This window comes from Homo sapiens, chromosome 1, assembly GCF_000001405.40.
Source record: "Homo sapiens chromosome 1, GRCh38.p14 Primary Assembly".
Lineage (NCBI taxonomy): Eukaryota > Metazoa > Chordata > Mammalia > Primates > Hominidae > Homo > Homo sapiens.
In genome coordinates, this window is record NC_000001.11 from 92,276,272 (window position 1) to 92,292,135 (window position 15,864).

The window sequence follows — 15,864 nt, forward strand, 5'->3', positions numbered from 1 at the left end:
ATATATTTACATATTAAAATATTATATTTTAAATTCCTTAAAAACCTATTCTCTCTCTGGTTATTAGATATATATTAAAAAATTATTGTTAATCTTGTTAGGAGTTAGGCTGGGAACAGTGGCTCTCGCCTGTAATCCCAGTACTTTGGGAGGCCAAAGGCAGCCAGATCGCTTGAGCCCAGGAGTTCGAGACCAGCCTGGGTAACATGGTGAAACCCCATCTCTACCCAAAATACAAAAATTGGCCAGGTGGGACGATGTGTGCCTGCAGTCCCAGCTACTTGGGAGGCTGAGGCAGGAGAACTGCTTGAGTCCGGGAGGCAGAGGTTTCAGTGAGCCGACATCATGCCTCTTCACTCCAGCTTGGGCAATGGGAGTGAAACCCTGTCTCAAAAAATTTTAACAAAAGGTAATAAAATCTTGTTAGGTGTCATAATAGCCTGGTGGTTATTTGTTTTTTTAAAAAAGCCCTTGTCATTAGGGAAGCATCCTTAAAGACTTACAGATGAATTATGTTTAGGACTTGTTATACTACAGCAAGAAAAGGAGGAGGACAGATAAAACAAAATTGGCAAAATGTTCATAATTATTGAAGCTGGGTGATGGGTACATGGGCATGTGCTAGATTATTTTTAGTACTTTTCTGAATGTTTGTAAATTTTTACAATACATTTGTTTTAAAGGCACAAGACCCCCAGATTCTTGCTCTGTATTCTCTATCTCAAGTATTGGCACCTTCATCTGCCCAGTTATCCAAGCAAAAACCCTCATCCATGTTTTATTCTAAATCCAATCAATGACCAAATTTTGCCAATTTTACCTACTATAAAGTTCTCAAATCTGCCCTTTCTTCATCTTTAAAACTATATCCCTACTAACAGAATGTGTCATAAATTTAGTCAATTAAAAAAAGGAAACAAACAAAAAATATCCATACATCTATACTCAGGCTCCCATCATTGCTTACTTAACTCCCAAGGCTTCCCTACTTCCAATTTTATCCCAGTTAGTCATCTTCCTTTAAAGTGATGAATCCTAAACACAGTTTGATTACATCACTCCCAGATTTAACATCTGTGATACTGTGACATATATATTTGCTCTTTGTTCCCACTTCCTGGGATATAACTCCTAAAATCCTTGGAATCTCCAAAGTGATAAGTGTCTTTATGCTATTGAGTTGACTGATAGCTGCGTCTCCTGGATAGCCTCAGGATGGGAGCTGGTTGCCAAGGGAACCAACCCTGTGATTAGAAGGCTGGACCTTTCAGTCCCACAGCCCTACCCCCATCCCACCCCAGTAAGGGAAAGGGGCTGAATATTAAGTTGATTACCAACGGTCAATGATGTAATCAATCATTCCTACATAATGAAGCCTCCATAAAAACCCAAAATGATTGGATTCAGAAAGCTTCTGGAAGCTGAACGCACGAAGTTTCCAGTAGGGTGGTGCATCCAGGCAGGGTATGGAAACTTGGTGCCCCCTCCCCTATACCTAGCCCTATGCATCTCTTCATCTGTATCCTTGGTAATATTCTTTATAGTAAACCACTAAATGTAAGTAAGCAGTGCCCTGAGTTCTGTAAGCCAATCTAGCAAATTAATCAAACCCAAGGAGGGGGTCCTGGGAATCCTGATTTATTGCCAGTCAGTTAGAGCACAGGTAAAACATCCTAGGGCTTGAGACTGGCATTGGAAGGGGGGGCAGTCTTGAGGTATTTAGCCCTCAACCTGTGAAATCTGACACTATCTCCAGGTAGGTAACGTTGGAATTGAATTAGAGGACACCCAATTGGTGTCCGTTGTACAACTGCTTGCTTGCTTGCCGTGAAGGGCAGGGGGCAGGGCAGGGAACTCCATACATCTGGTGTCAGAAACTTGTTATGACTATAGTAGGAGAAACTGAGTTTGGTTTTTCTACATCACCAGATTTCCTTTAATAGTTTCCAACTTTCATAGTTGTCTTCTCAAAATACATATCATATGTGATGGTGCTTATACTACCTCCAGAAGATGATACTGTGCTCTAGCACTGGTAACAATGAAGAGCCCCCAGACTTTTGTGTGCTCCAGAGAAAACCCGTCACCTCTCCTACTTCATCCCTCACAGCCTCTTCACTATTATCGTGACCATCAGCATTAACCTTATTAAATTATGTATTCCTAATTATATCAGTCACCAAGTCATCTCTCATCTTCAGAATTTATTCCCATAAACTTCTAGCATCCCTTCATCTGACCCCTTTTTCCATCTCTCCTAAATTAAAATTGGCTCTCATCTGAAAACAGCTGCTTTCTCTGCAACCCTTCAAAAGACTACTGTATTTTTCATCTATACCCATTGTACCACTGAGCCTGGGAATACATCTGTTCTCCTTGCTGCTTCTACACCATTCTCTCCCCATCCTCTCTAAAAATCCCTCAACTCTGAAACTCATTTTTTATGACTTTACCATTTCTACCCCTCCTTGTTGCAGTTAGTAGACCCCAAGGTCACCCCATCACATGGCTTTCCAACATTATAATTCTGTGTGATTTAAATGTACAACCAAAGATCTTCTGATACTCTGAAATCTCAAGTATTTCATTTTCTCTAGCCCAATGACCTTTGCCTCTATCCTCTCCTTTAGAACACCCTCTCATGGTCACACCCCAGACATTGATACTAGTAACTATAATCTTTCCATAATACTATTTTCAAGCATCCTATTCTTTACACCTATTTTTTCAGTTCACCCCTTTTAGTAACCTAACTCCAAACATCTGTCACCCACACCAGGTTCTACAACCTAATGATCCAATCACCTTTTCACTGTCTCTTGCATGTCCTAACTTTACTCCTTACCCAGCTTAAATTCTATGTCCATCATTAAAGTCACTTTGTACATTAAAATCACCTTGCGGCTGGGCACAGTGGCTCACGCCTGTAATCCCTGCACTTTGGGAGGCTGAGGCGGGTGGATCACGTGAGGTCAGGAGTTTGAGACCAGCTTGGCCAACATGGCGAAACCCCAACTCTACTAAAAATACAAAAAATTAGCCAGGTGTGGTGGCGGGTGCCTGTAATCCCAGCTACTTGGGAGGCTGAGGCAGGAGAATTGCTTGAACCTAGGAGGTGGAGGTTGCAGTGAGCTGAGATCATGCCATTGAACGACAGCCTGGGCAACAGAGCGAGACTCTGTCACAAAAAAAAAAAAAAAAAAAAAGGAGTCACTTCCAAGATGGCCAAATAGGAACAGCTCAGGTCTGCAGCTCCCAGCGAGATCGACGCAGAAGACCAGTGATTTCTGCATTTCCAACTGAGGTACCTGGTTCACCTCACTGGGACTGGTTGGACAGTGGGTGCAGCCCACGGAGGGCAAGCTGAGGCAGGGCGGGGCATTGCCTCACCCGGGAAGTGCGAGGGGTCAGCGAATTTCCCCTTCCTAGCCAAGGGAAGCCGTGACAGACTGTTTCTGGAGAAACAGTACACTCCTGACCAAATACTGTGCTATTCCCATAGTCTTAGCAACCGGCAGACCAGGAGATACCCTGCCATGCCTGGCTTGGTGGGTCCCACACCCACAGAGCCTTGCGCACTGCTAGCGCAGCAGTCTGAGATCGACCTGCGAGGCTGCAGCTAGACGGGAAGGGGTGTCCGCCATTGCTGAGGCTTGAGTAGCTCACAGTGTAAACAAAGAGGCCTGGAAGCACAAACTGGGCGGAGCCCACCGCAACTCAGCAAGGCCTACTGCCTCTATAGATTCTACCTCTGGGGACGGCACAGTAGAACAAAAGGCAGCAGACAGCTTCTGCAGACTTAAACATCCCTGTCTGACAGCTCTGAAGAGAGCAGTGGTTCTCTCAGCATAGCATTCGAGCTCCGATAATAGACAGACTGCCTCCTCAAGCGGGTCCCTGACCCCCGCGTAGCGTGATTGGGAAACACCTGCCAGTAGGGGGCCGACAGACACCTCAAACAGGCGGGTGCCCCTCTGGGACAAAGCTTCCAGAGGAAGGATCAGGCAGCAATATTTGCTCTTCTGCAGCCTCCACTGGTGATACCCATGCAAACAGGGTCTGGAGTGGACCTCTAGCAAACTCCAACATACCTGCAGCTGAGAGGTCTGTTAGAAGGAAAACTAACAAACAGAAAGGAATAGCATCAACATCAACAGAAAGGACATCTACACCAAAACCCCATCTGTAGGTCACCAACATCAAAGACCAAAGGTAGATAAAACCACAAAGATGGGGAGAAACCAGAGCAGAAAAGCTGAAAATTCCAAAAAACAGAGCGCCTCTGCTCTTTCAAAGGATCACAGCTCCTCACCAGCAAGGGAACAAAACTGGACGGAGAATGAGTTTGATGAGTTGACAGAAGTAGGCTTCGGAAGGTCGGTAATAACAAACTTCTCCGAGCTAAAGGAGCATGTTCTAACCCATCACAAGGAGGATAAAAACCTGGAAAAAAGGTAAGACAAATAGCTAACTAGAATAAACAGTGTAGAGAAGCACTTAAATGACCTGATGGAGCTGAAAACCATGGCACGAGAACTTCATGACGCATGCACAAGCTTCAATAGCCGATTTGATCAAGTGGAAGAAAGGGTATCAGTGACTGAAGATCCAATTAATGAAATAAAGCAAGAAGACAAGATTAGAGAAAAAAGAGTGCAAAGAAACGAACAAAGCCTCCAAGAAATATGGGACTATGTGAAAAGACCAAATCTATGTTTGATTGGTGCACCGGAAAGTGACAGGGAGAATGGAACAAAGTTAGAAAACACTCTTCAGGATATTATCCAGGAGAACTTCCATAACCTAGCAAGGCAGGCCAACATTCAAATTCAGGAAATACAGAGAACACCACAAAGATACTCCTTGAGAAGAGCAACCCCAAGACACATAATTGTCAGATTCACCAAGGTGGAAGTGAAGGAAAAACTGTTAAGGGCAGCCAGAGAGAAAGGTCAGGTTACCCACAAAAGGAAGCCCATCAGACTAACAGCAGATCTCTCAGCAGAAACCCTACAAGCCAGAAGAGAGTGGGGGCCAAAATTCAACATTCTTAAAGAAAAGAATTTTCAACCCAGAATTTCATATCCAGCCAAACTAAGCTGCATAAGTGAAGGAGAAATAAAATCCTTTACAGACAAGCAAATGGTGAGAGATTTTTGTCACCACCAGGCCTGCCTTACAAAAGCTCCTGAAGGATTTACTAAACATGAATAGGAACGACCGGTACCAGCTACTGCAAAAACATGCCAAATGGTAAAGACCAGTGACACTATGAAGAAACTGCATCAATTAACAGAAAAAATAACCAGCTATCATCATAATGACATGATCAAATTCAAACATAACAATATTAACTTTAAATGTAAATGGGCTAAATGCTCCAATTAAAAGACACAGACTGGCAAATTGAATAAAGAGTCAAAACCCATTGGTGTGCTGTATTCAGGAGACCCATCTCACATGCAAAGATGCACATGGGCTCAAAATAAAGGGGTGGAGAAAGATCTACCAAGCAAATGGAAAGCAAAAAAAAAAAAGCAAGGGTTGCAATCCTAGTCTCTGATAAAACAGACTTTAAACCAGCAAAGATCAAAAGAGACAAAGAAGGCCACTACATAATGGTAAAGGGATAAATTCAACAAGAAGAGCTAACTATCCTAAATATATATGCACCCAATACAGGAGCACCCAGGTTTATAAAGCAAGTCCTTAGAGACCTACAAAGATACTTAGACTCCCACACGATAATAATGGGAGACTTTAACACCCCACTGTCAATATTACACAGAACAATGAGACAGAAGGTTAACAAGGATATCCAGGACTTGAACTCAGCTCTGGAACAAGTGGACCTAATAGACATCTACAGAACTCTCCACACCAAATCAACAGAATATACATTCTTCTCAGCACCATATCGCACTTATTCTAAAATTGACCATATAATTGGTAGTAAAATACTACTCAGCAAATGTAAAAGAACAGAAATCACAACAAACTGTATCTCAGACCACAGTGCAATCAAATTAGAACTCAGGATTCAGAAACTCACTCAAAACTGCACAACTACATGGAAACTGAACAACCTGCTCCTGAATGACTACTGGGTACATAACGAAATGAAGGCAGAAACAAAGATGTTCTTTGAAACCAATGAGAACAAAGACACAATATACCAGAATCTCTGGGACACATTTAAAGCAGTGAGTAGAGGGAAATTTATAGCACTAAATGCCCACAAAAGAAAGCAGGAAAGAGCTAAAATTGACATCCTAACATCACAATTAAAAGAATTGGAAAAGCAAGAGCAAACAAATTCAAAAGCTAGCAGAAGGCAAGAAATAACTAAGATCAGGGCAGAACTGAAGGAGATAGAGACACAAAAAACCCTTCAAAAAAAATCAATGAATCCAGGAGCTGCTTTTTTGAAAAGATCAACAAAATACATAGACCTCTAGCAAGATTAATAAAGAAGAAAAGAGAGAAGAATCAAATAGATGCAATAAAAAATGATAAAGGGGATATCACCACTGATCCCACAGAAATACAAACTACCATCAGAGAATAGTATAAACACCTCTATGCAAATAAACTAGAAAATCTAGAAGAAATGGGTAAATTCCCAGACACATACACCCTCCCAAGACTAAACCTAAAAGAAGTTGAATCTCTGAATAGACCAATAACAGGTTCTGAAATTGAGGCAATAATTAATAGCCTACCAACCAAAAAAAGTCGAGGACCAGACAGATTCACAGCCGAATTCTACCAGAGGTACAAAGAGGAGATGGTACCATTCCTTCTGAAACTATTCCAATCAATAGAAAAAGAGGGAATCCTCCCTAACTCATTTTAGGAGGCCGGCATCATCCTGATACCAAAGCCTGGCAGAGACACAACAAAAAAAGAGAATTTTAGGGCAATATCCTTGATGAACATCGATGAGAAAATCCTCAATAAAATACCGAATCCAGCAGCACATCAAAAATCTTATGCGCCACAATCAAGTCGGCTTCTTCCCTGGGATGCAAGGCCGGTTCAACATATGCAAATCAATAAACGTAATCTATCACATAAACAGAACCAATGACAAAAACCACATGATTATCTTAATAGATGCAGAAAAGGCCTTGGATAAAACTCAACAGCCCTTCATGCTAAAAACTCTCAATAAACTAGGTATTGATGGAACGTATCTCAAAATAATAAGAGCTTTTATGACAAACCCACAGCCAATATCATACTGAATAGGCAAAAAATTGGAAGCATTCCCTTTGAAAAATGGCACAAGACAAGGAAGCCCTCTCTCACCACTCCTATTCAACACAGTGTTGGAAGTTCTGGCTAGGGCAATCAGGCAAGAGAAAGAAATAAAGGGTATTTGATTAGGAAAAGAGGAAGTCAAATTGTCTCTGTTTGCAGATGACATGATTGTATATTTAGAAAACCCCATCGTCTCAGCCCAAAATCTCCTTAAGCTGCTAAGCAACTTCAGCAAAGTCTCAGGATACAAAATCAATGTGCAAAAATCACAAGCATTCCTATACACCAATAATAGACAAACAGAGAGCCAAATCATGAGTGAATTCCCATTCACAATTACTACAAAGAGAATAAAATAGCTAGGAATCCAACTTACACGGGATGTGAAGGACCTCTTCAAGGAGAACTACAAACCACTGTTCAACAAAATAAAAGAGGACACAAACAAATGGAAGAACATTCCATGCTCATGAATAGGAAGAATCAATATCATGAAAGTGGTCATACTGCCCAAAGTAATTTACAGATTCAATGCTATCCCCATCAAGCTACCACTGACTTTCTTCACAGAATTGGAAAAAACTATTTTAAAGTTGATATGGAACCAAAAAAGAGCCCGTATAGCCAAGACAATCCTAAGCCAAAAGAACAAAGCTGGAGGCATCAAGCTACCTGACTTCAAACTATACTACAAGGACACAGTAACCAAAACAGATTGGTACTGGTACCGAAACAGATATACAGACCAATGGAACAGAACAGAGGCCTCAGAAATAACACTACACATCTACAACCATCTGATCTTTGACAAACCTGACAAAAACAAGCAATGGGGAAAGGATTCCCTATTTAATAAATGGTGCTGGGAAAACTGGCTAGCCATATGTAGAAAGCTGAAACTGGATCCCTTCCTTACACCTTATGCAAAAATTAACTCAAGATGGATTAAAGACTTAAATGTAAGACTTAACACCATAAAAACCCTAAAAGAAAACCTAGGCAATACCATTCAGGACATAGGCATGGGCAAGGACTTCATGATTAAAACACCAAAAGGAATGTCAACAAAAGCCAAAATAGACAAATGGGATTAATTAAACTAAAGAGCTTCTGCACAGCAAAAGAAAGTATCATCAGAGTGAACAGGCAACCTACAGAATGGGAGAAAAATCTTTGCAATCTACCCATCTCACAAAGGGCTAATATCCAGAATCTACAAAGAACTTAAACAAATTTACAAGAAAAAAAAAATCCCATCAAAAAGTAGGCAAAGGATATGAACAGACACTTCTCAAAAGAAGACATTTATACAGCCAACAGACATGAAAAAATGCTCATCATCACTGGTCATCAGAGAAATGCAAATCAAAACCAGTGAGATACCATCTCACGCCAGTTAGAATGGTGATCATTAAAAAGTCAGGAAACAACAGATGCTGGAGAGGATGTGGAGAAATAGGAACGCTTTTACACTGTTGGTGGGAGTGTAAATTAGTTCAACCATTGTGGAAGACAGTGTGGCGATTCCTCAAGGATCTAGAACTAGAAATACCATTTGACCCAGCCATCCCAATACTGGGTATATACCCAAAGGATTATAAATCATTCTATGATAAAGACACATGCACATGTGTGTTTCTTGCAGCACTACTCACAATAGCAAAGACTTGGAACCAACCCAAATGTCCATCAATGATAGACTAGATTAAGAAAATGTGGCACATATATACCATGGAATACTATGCAGCCATTAAAAAGGATGAGTTCATGTCCTTTGCAGGGACATGGATGAAGCTGGAAACCACCATTCTAAGCAAACTATCACAAGAACAGAAAACCAAACACCGCAGGTTCTTACTCATTGGTAGGAGTTGAACAATGAGAACACATGGACACAGGGTGGGGAACATCACACACCATGGCTGGTTGGGGCGTGGGGGGCTGGGGGAGGGATAGCATTAGGACAAATACCTAATGTAAATGATGAGTTGATGGGTGCAGCAAACCAACATGGCACATGTATACCTATGTAACAAACCTGCACGTTGTGCACATGTACCCTAGAACTTAAAGTATAATTGAAAAAGAAATCACCTTACATACATGCTCAATCCCTTGCCCCCCTCTTGCTCTCTACAACTTACCCTGTTCTTAAAACCCCACCCTAATTCAACCAAATGTTACTCCTATGCTGCACCTGCACTCATGTAGCTGAACATGGCTGAAGAAAACTACACAGCCACATGGACTTTCTCTTTTGAAATTCAGAAACATCAACTTAAAATAAATTTTTTAATATTTCAGATTATTTCTCTAATACAGAATCTGAGCACATTTTAAAATACTATTGATGCATAAAGCCAAATTGCTTTTAAAATAAAATTTACTTAAATATGGAGCTATTTTGAAAATATTTATCACAGGGCATGGAATTTCCACTCTAGGAGTTTTAAGGAAATAATTTGAAAAGTATGCAAAAATTTAATTACTAGGTTACTTATCATAGACTTAACAGTTAAAAAAAGAAAACTTGGAGTTGTCCTACAATAATGGAAAATTAGAAACAATCCAAATGTTGAACTATATGGCACAGGTGAAATACATTATACTAAGTCCATACCATGGAACACTATTAAGCCAATGGAAAAATATTCATAATATACTGTTGAAGAGGAAAAAGGTAGATTACAAGATTATATATATATATAAAATCTTTGAAAAATTTATATATATGTATTATTATAAATAAGTATATAAGAAAAAAGCCTGGAGGATGTTAATATTTATCTTTGGATAATAAAATTATTGCTGTTTTATTTTCCATCTTTTGTTTATGTGTGTTCTACAAAAAATACACATTTCTTTATTAATGAATGTATCAATTTACATGTGCAGTACTGAGAATATAGTGGGATAACATTTAAGATTATAGCAGATTAAATTAGCTGTACTTACTATTATTTCTGATGCAAAATACCTGAAAGGATCATTTCCACCTTCTTCAGACTGTTCAAAGAATTGTGCTGTCAGCAAAGGGCATTTCAAGCTTTTGAAACAACTAAGGCATAAGAAATAGGTAACTATGAAATCAACACTTCCAAGTATAAAATCCCTAGGTCTTCAAATCTAAGTTAATTTTACTTGAAAAATAACATAAGCACTGCTATGGTTTGAATGACTCTGCTCTCCAAAACTCATGTTGAAATTTAACTGCCATAAGGAGGTGGGAATTAGGCCAAGGGGGCTCCACTCTCACGGATGAGATTAATGCTGTTATAAAAGGGCAAGTTCAGCCCACTTTTGCCTTTTGCCCTTTTACCTTCAGCCACATTATGACACAGCTAGAAGGCCCTTGCCAGATGCCAGCGCCTTAATTGCAGACTTCCCAGCCTCCAGAACTGTGAACCAATGAATTTCTGTTCATTATAAATCACCCAGTCTTAGGTATTCTGTTATATCAGCACAAATGGATTAAGACAAGCATCAATAACTCAATGGTCTATAAAACTGGTGATGTAACGTCGTTCGTACTAGTAATGGGGAGAACATGAGAACACCTTGCTAGACTCAACATGCTAAGACTGACTTCTACATCTGAACTATTCCATTGAATTCTGAATGTTTGAGGGCTGGTGCTAGTCTATGATGTTGTTTTCATTAGTTCAAAGAAAAAATCAAGAAATACAGTCATTTTTTCACACAGCTCTATTTGTTTTATTTAGAAAACCAAACTTTATTCTGTGATTAAGCCTTTCCTATTTCTTTAGTTAAAATACCTTTTCTTTTATGAAATAATGGGTTTTATAAATGGTAAAAAACTTTTTTTTTGAGACAGGGTGTCTGTCACCCAGGCTGGAGTACAGTGGCACAATAATAGTGCACTGTAACCTCAAACTCCTGGGCTCAAAGGATCCTCCTGCCACAGCCTCCCAAGTAGCTGGGACTACAGGCACACACCACTGTGCCCAGCTAACTTTTTTATTTTTTGTAGAGACAGGGTCTCACTATGTTGCCTAGGCTGGTCTCAAACTCCTGAGCTCAAGCAATCTCCCAGCTTGACCTCCCAAAGTGTTAGGATTACAGGTGCGAGCCACCACGTCTGGCTGTAAATTTTTTTTTAAATGTCCTAACCTGACAAGTAGGAAGCTAAAAATAGTATTAGTCTCCAAAATTAAAATATTATTTTATATTCTATTTTTTAGAGACGAGGTCTTGCTATGTTGCCCAGGCTGGTCTTGTACTCCTGGCCTCAAGTGATCCTCCTGCCTCAGCCTCCCAAGTAGCCAAAATTTAAAAATTACTGGTCCATGTAATTAATCTAGTCTATCACTGTCCAATAGAAATATAACACAGCCCCATATATAATTTAAGATCTTTTAGTAGACACATGAAAAAAGTAGTAAGAATGGGAGAGATGATTTTAATAATTTATCTTAACCCAGTATATCTGAAATATTGTCATTTCAACATGTTATCAATATAAAAATTGAGGTATTTTACTGTTTTTTTTTTTTAAATAACAAGTCTTCAAAATCCAGGGGATATTTTATAATTAAAGTATATCTGAATTTGGACCAGCCATATGTCAAGTGCTACAGCCATATTGAACAGTAGATGTTTAGTCTATAGTACCCATGGAGGGAATGCTATTGGGTGGATACTCTACCACTATTTTTGTGGTCCAGTTGGATGTTCTGTCTGGTGGTCTTTCTGCTGCTTCCTTTGAAAGAGTAAAACACAATTTCTCCACAGAGCTACCTATATCTATTTCCCACACTCACCCTGAGCTACATGTATCTATTTCCCCCACTTTCATTATTCACCTACTATGATGAATAAGGCAATACAAAGAAGAATATAAAGTAAATGAATGGATTTTGGTTTTATAATTATTTTATTAATTAATTTCTTAAAGACAGGGTCTTGCTCTGTTGCCCAGACTGGAGTACAGTGGCCAATCATCATTCACTGCAGCCTCACACTCCTGGATTCAACCCATCCTCTAGCCTCAGCTTCCCAAGCAGTAGCACTACAGGTATATGCCACTACATCTAGCTAATTTTTAAATTTTTTTATAGAGATGGGGGTCTCACTATGTTGCCAAGGCTCGTCTCAAACTCCTGGCCCCAAGCAATCCTCTCACTTCAGTCTCCCAAAGTGATGGGATTACATGTGTGAGCCACTACACCCGGCCTATAATTTTTTAAAATATAAATGTCTCAAGTTCCCATGCTGTATCAACTGAACCCCACATTCTTCTAAAATTCAAAATCTGAAACTAGATTTCTATTTACATGTCAAACAAAGTGAAGAAACATAAAATAACTGAACTATCAATTACTTAAGTCCACTGTGAGATGTTCTTAAAATTATACTTACAATTTCAGTAATTCATCCTTTAACTTTTCATTTTCCAGTGAGTTTTCTTTGTTATCAATGACTTCTTCCACAAAAGGCTTAGTGAACTCTATTAAGGCCTTGCAACACTGACAAAGGCCATAGTCATCCATTTGTATTTGTTCTTTTGAGTATGGAACAGGAAGAAGAGATAGCTGATTCCAAAGGGTAGACAATGCTAATCCAATTGAATATGCCTTGTTATGAAGTTTCTGAATCACTAAAACAGAGATCAAGTTGTCGCTCATCAAGTATGCTAAACATGGGACAAGAAATTCGGCAAATGTGGAATTATAAGACACTTCCTCCTCCCACATTTTAACAACTCTTGAATCAAGATGACACATCACAGTCTAATTGGCAGTGTTTTTTTCTTCTTAGTTGTGCATAAAATAATACAGCATCTTGCCATGAAATGCTGTTTAGGTTATGTTTATAACAGACTATGTGTAACAGGCTATGTACTTAAGACAGAAACATGTTCTTTCCATGTTTTTGGGTTGTTATAAGCACAAAATATAAGTGTATTGTAAACTATAAAGCACTACACAAATAGGAGGTGGTATTATTAGATTTTTTTTCCCTAGAAGACTGAATATTACAGGTAGTATGAAGCTGGCAGGCATTCATATTTAAAACAAATTTAATTTCTGATTCTAGGTCCCTCTATCAGATTGTGAGATAAACGAATTTCCTAAAATGAAAAATAACCTCTTCCTATGGATACTGTCTGCCTTGGTTGCTAAGACCCATTACCTACCAATACTGTTACTGCACTCAGCCATGGAGCCTTATCATCCCATATCTCCTCGTTTCATTCTTCAGTAGTAGCTTTGCTATGCCCAATCCAACCTCCCAAAGCAGAGGCTGAGCAATGCCTTGCCTGATACTCTTCCAGACTACCATAATGCTATCAGATTTAGTACTGCAGACACCACAGAGGTAACCCTTGAAACATGTTTAGAGAGAAAATTCTAGATTTAAGCAGCAGATAGGAAGGTTAGGCAAAAAGGTATAGTTTTCAATATAGCACATGAAAAATAGTATGACATTCAACAGAATATTTACTGGGTACCCACTCTGGCCAGATACTATAATCTTTCTATGAGCAGCAGTATTCACATTGGCATTGCTATTATTGGTTTAAGCAGAGTACTCACTAATTAGCTGTAAACTTTACTTTGGTGTAGTATTGACATTTTGAGGTAACCATCAAGGCATTTAGAGATACAACAAGAAGTACTCTGATATCAAAATTCTCATTACCTGTTTGTAATGGCTGAAGCAAAAGAAGAATACTTTGGGATATCTGTTTTCCAGAGGGCTCTTCAATCAGTTCAAGCAAACCCAACAATAATTCCTTTGGATTGCATAACTATAAAAATATTCACAATTGAACCTGTTTAATACAAGTTGTATTTAAAGCCACATTATTACTATTTTTAAGAAGGCATGTATCGACAAAATATTATACAATTATGTTTTTGCTTAACATTAAAATTATTTATACAATTGTTGAAAAAATATGCATGAGCAAAACACAGAATCTGTGATGGTCAAGTAACTATAAAACTAAAAAGCAAGAAGTCAATGGATCTTTAGGCTCAGGTTTCCTTTGAGCTTCACCTGTCCACTCTGAAATTGCCTTAACAGATTCTCAGGGGCTCCAGCAGGTGGGACCTTTCAATCCCATGCTGCAAGCCTATTTAGACTAGTCTGGAATCTCTTTTGTATTTTTTGAACAGGTAAAACTTTGCATTGCTTTCTGACTGGCCATATCTTATCATCTCACTTGACTGGTTTTTTAAAAGCTCCCAGCTCCCATAGTCAATAACTCATACAGATGGAGCTCTCCTTCCAATATATATTTGGGTATATTTGCACTGATCACTAAACAGTTTCTTATAATATACTTTTTCTCAGAATTTATCTTTCTTGGCCATCAAATATTGACTGTAAACTCTACTAGCCTTTTACCCAGGGTCGCTTTCTAAGGTTGTTAGTCACAACTGATCTGTATTCTACCCTATTCCTACTTCAATTTTAATCACTTGTATTCTAGGCCTTCCATTTTCTTTTAGGGAACATACCACAAAGGAAAGAGGACTGAGATTTTAATCTAGTTCCAATGTTGCCAAAAGATAAATGTGACCTTGAACTACCTCTCTAAAGCTTGTATTCCACATCTATACGATAAGGCTACTTGTTAAGATATAGCTTCCCAGGTCTCTCCCTGGAGATGCTGAATCAATGGGTCCGATATGAGGTTAATATGAGGTTAGACAATTCTTTTATCCAGAAAATTTGGGAAATCCTGAAATGGAATTGCCTATCCAATCAATAAGACTGGGTCTTTTCTCCAACGAGTTCCTTTCTGCATGTACTTTCATGAACCAAAAGCTTTCTTACCAAACAATAAACATTAAAGGGAATTATAAAATACTGCTGTGTGTTATGATAAAGAGAACCTTGTTTTGTTAACTTACCTTTACCAATAAATCAAAGATCAAAAAATAAACTTTTCTTTTACTATCCTCTTTATCTTTACACAAAAGGCATCGAACAACAGGACCAACGAGATTCCAGCCCATATTCTTGATGATGACCTGTAAAAACATTTTCAGAGTAAAGCAAACACTGCCATCTATAGGACTCTCGCAGTGTGCTTTCCTATCTTGGAAGAGCTCAGAATTGTTTCTGAAATAGGAAGATGAGACAAGTGAAGCCTATGACATTTCACCAGAGACTTTCCAGGGTTGGCTACTAACAGACATCAACATTTTTAAATAGTTTTTAATATGTTCCCTGAGGAAAGGCAAAAGGGTCTTTACTTTTTATCAGGCAAGTTGGTGTTTCCCAAGATTTAAATAGTGCCTCTATTTCCAACAAAAGAGTTAATTTGCTTAATACAGGTACTTAACTTCCACAGACAATTTTGCTCCCCTTATTCATAAAGAAATCCAGCCAATGCTCATGTACCTTTTAAAGTTCTTGGAGTCTCTAAATATAATCCTTGTAATTTATAAAAAAAAGAAGGGATACAACTTCATTAATTTTCTCTCCTACATACAAGTGGCTTCTATGTTCAAAGATATTTCAGAATGCTTACCATACAAGTAAAAGTTTATCTTTATAATGACTAATTCACATTCATTATCAAAACCACTAATTCTCAAAGGATCAACAATGTATTCCACTTCTCTG

The 15,864-nt window shown here is 38.8% G+C and overlaps 1 protein-coding gene across 14 annotated transcripts in view; it reads right to left on the minus strand.

Moving 5' to 3' along the window:
- The window catches only part of GLMN (glomulin, FKBP associated protein), a 124,443-nt gene that overhangs the window by 29,870 nt on the left and 78,709 nt on the right, over positions 1-15,864 (minus strand). For 12 of the 14 annotated variants that reach the window (NR_135089.2, XR_007068627.1, XM_011540546.3 and 9 more), the window contains 4 exons: positions 15,147-15,266; positions 13,927-14,035; positions 12,643-12,880; positions 10,219-10,321 (listed from right to left, as the gene is read on the minus strand). Coding sequence is in view for 11 of the 14 variants with exons in the window: in XM_011540546.3 (XP_011538848.1) it covers positions 10,219-10,321; positions 12,643-12,880; positions 13,927-14,035; positions 15,147-15,266 (570 nt within the window). In the remaining 3 variants the exon portion in view is untranslated. Of the gene's footprint in view, positions 1-10,218; positions 10,322-12,642; positions 12,881-13,926; positions 14,060-15,146; positions 15,267-15,864 lie in introns of those variants that run through there. The other 2 variants (XM_006710309.3, XM_047442833.1) reach the window with 2 other exon arrangements.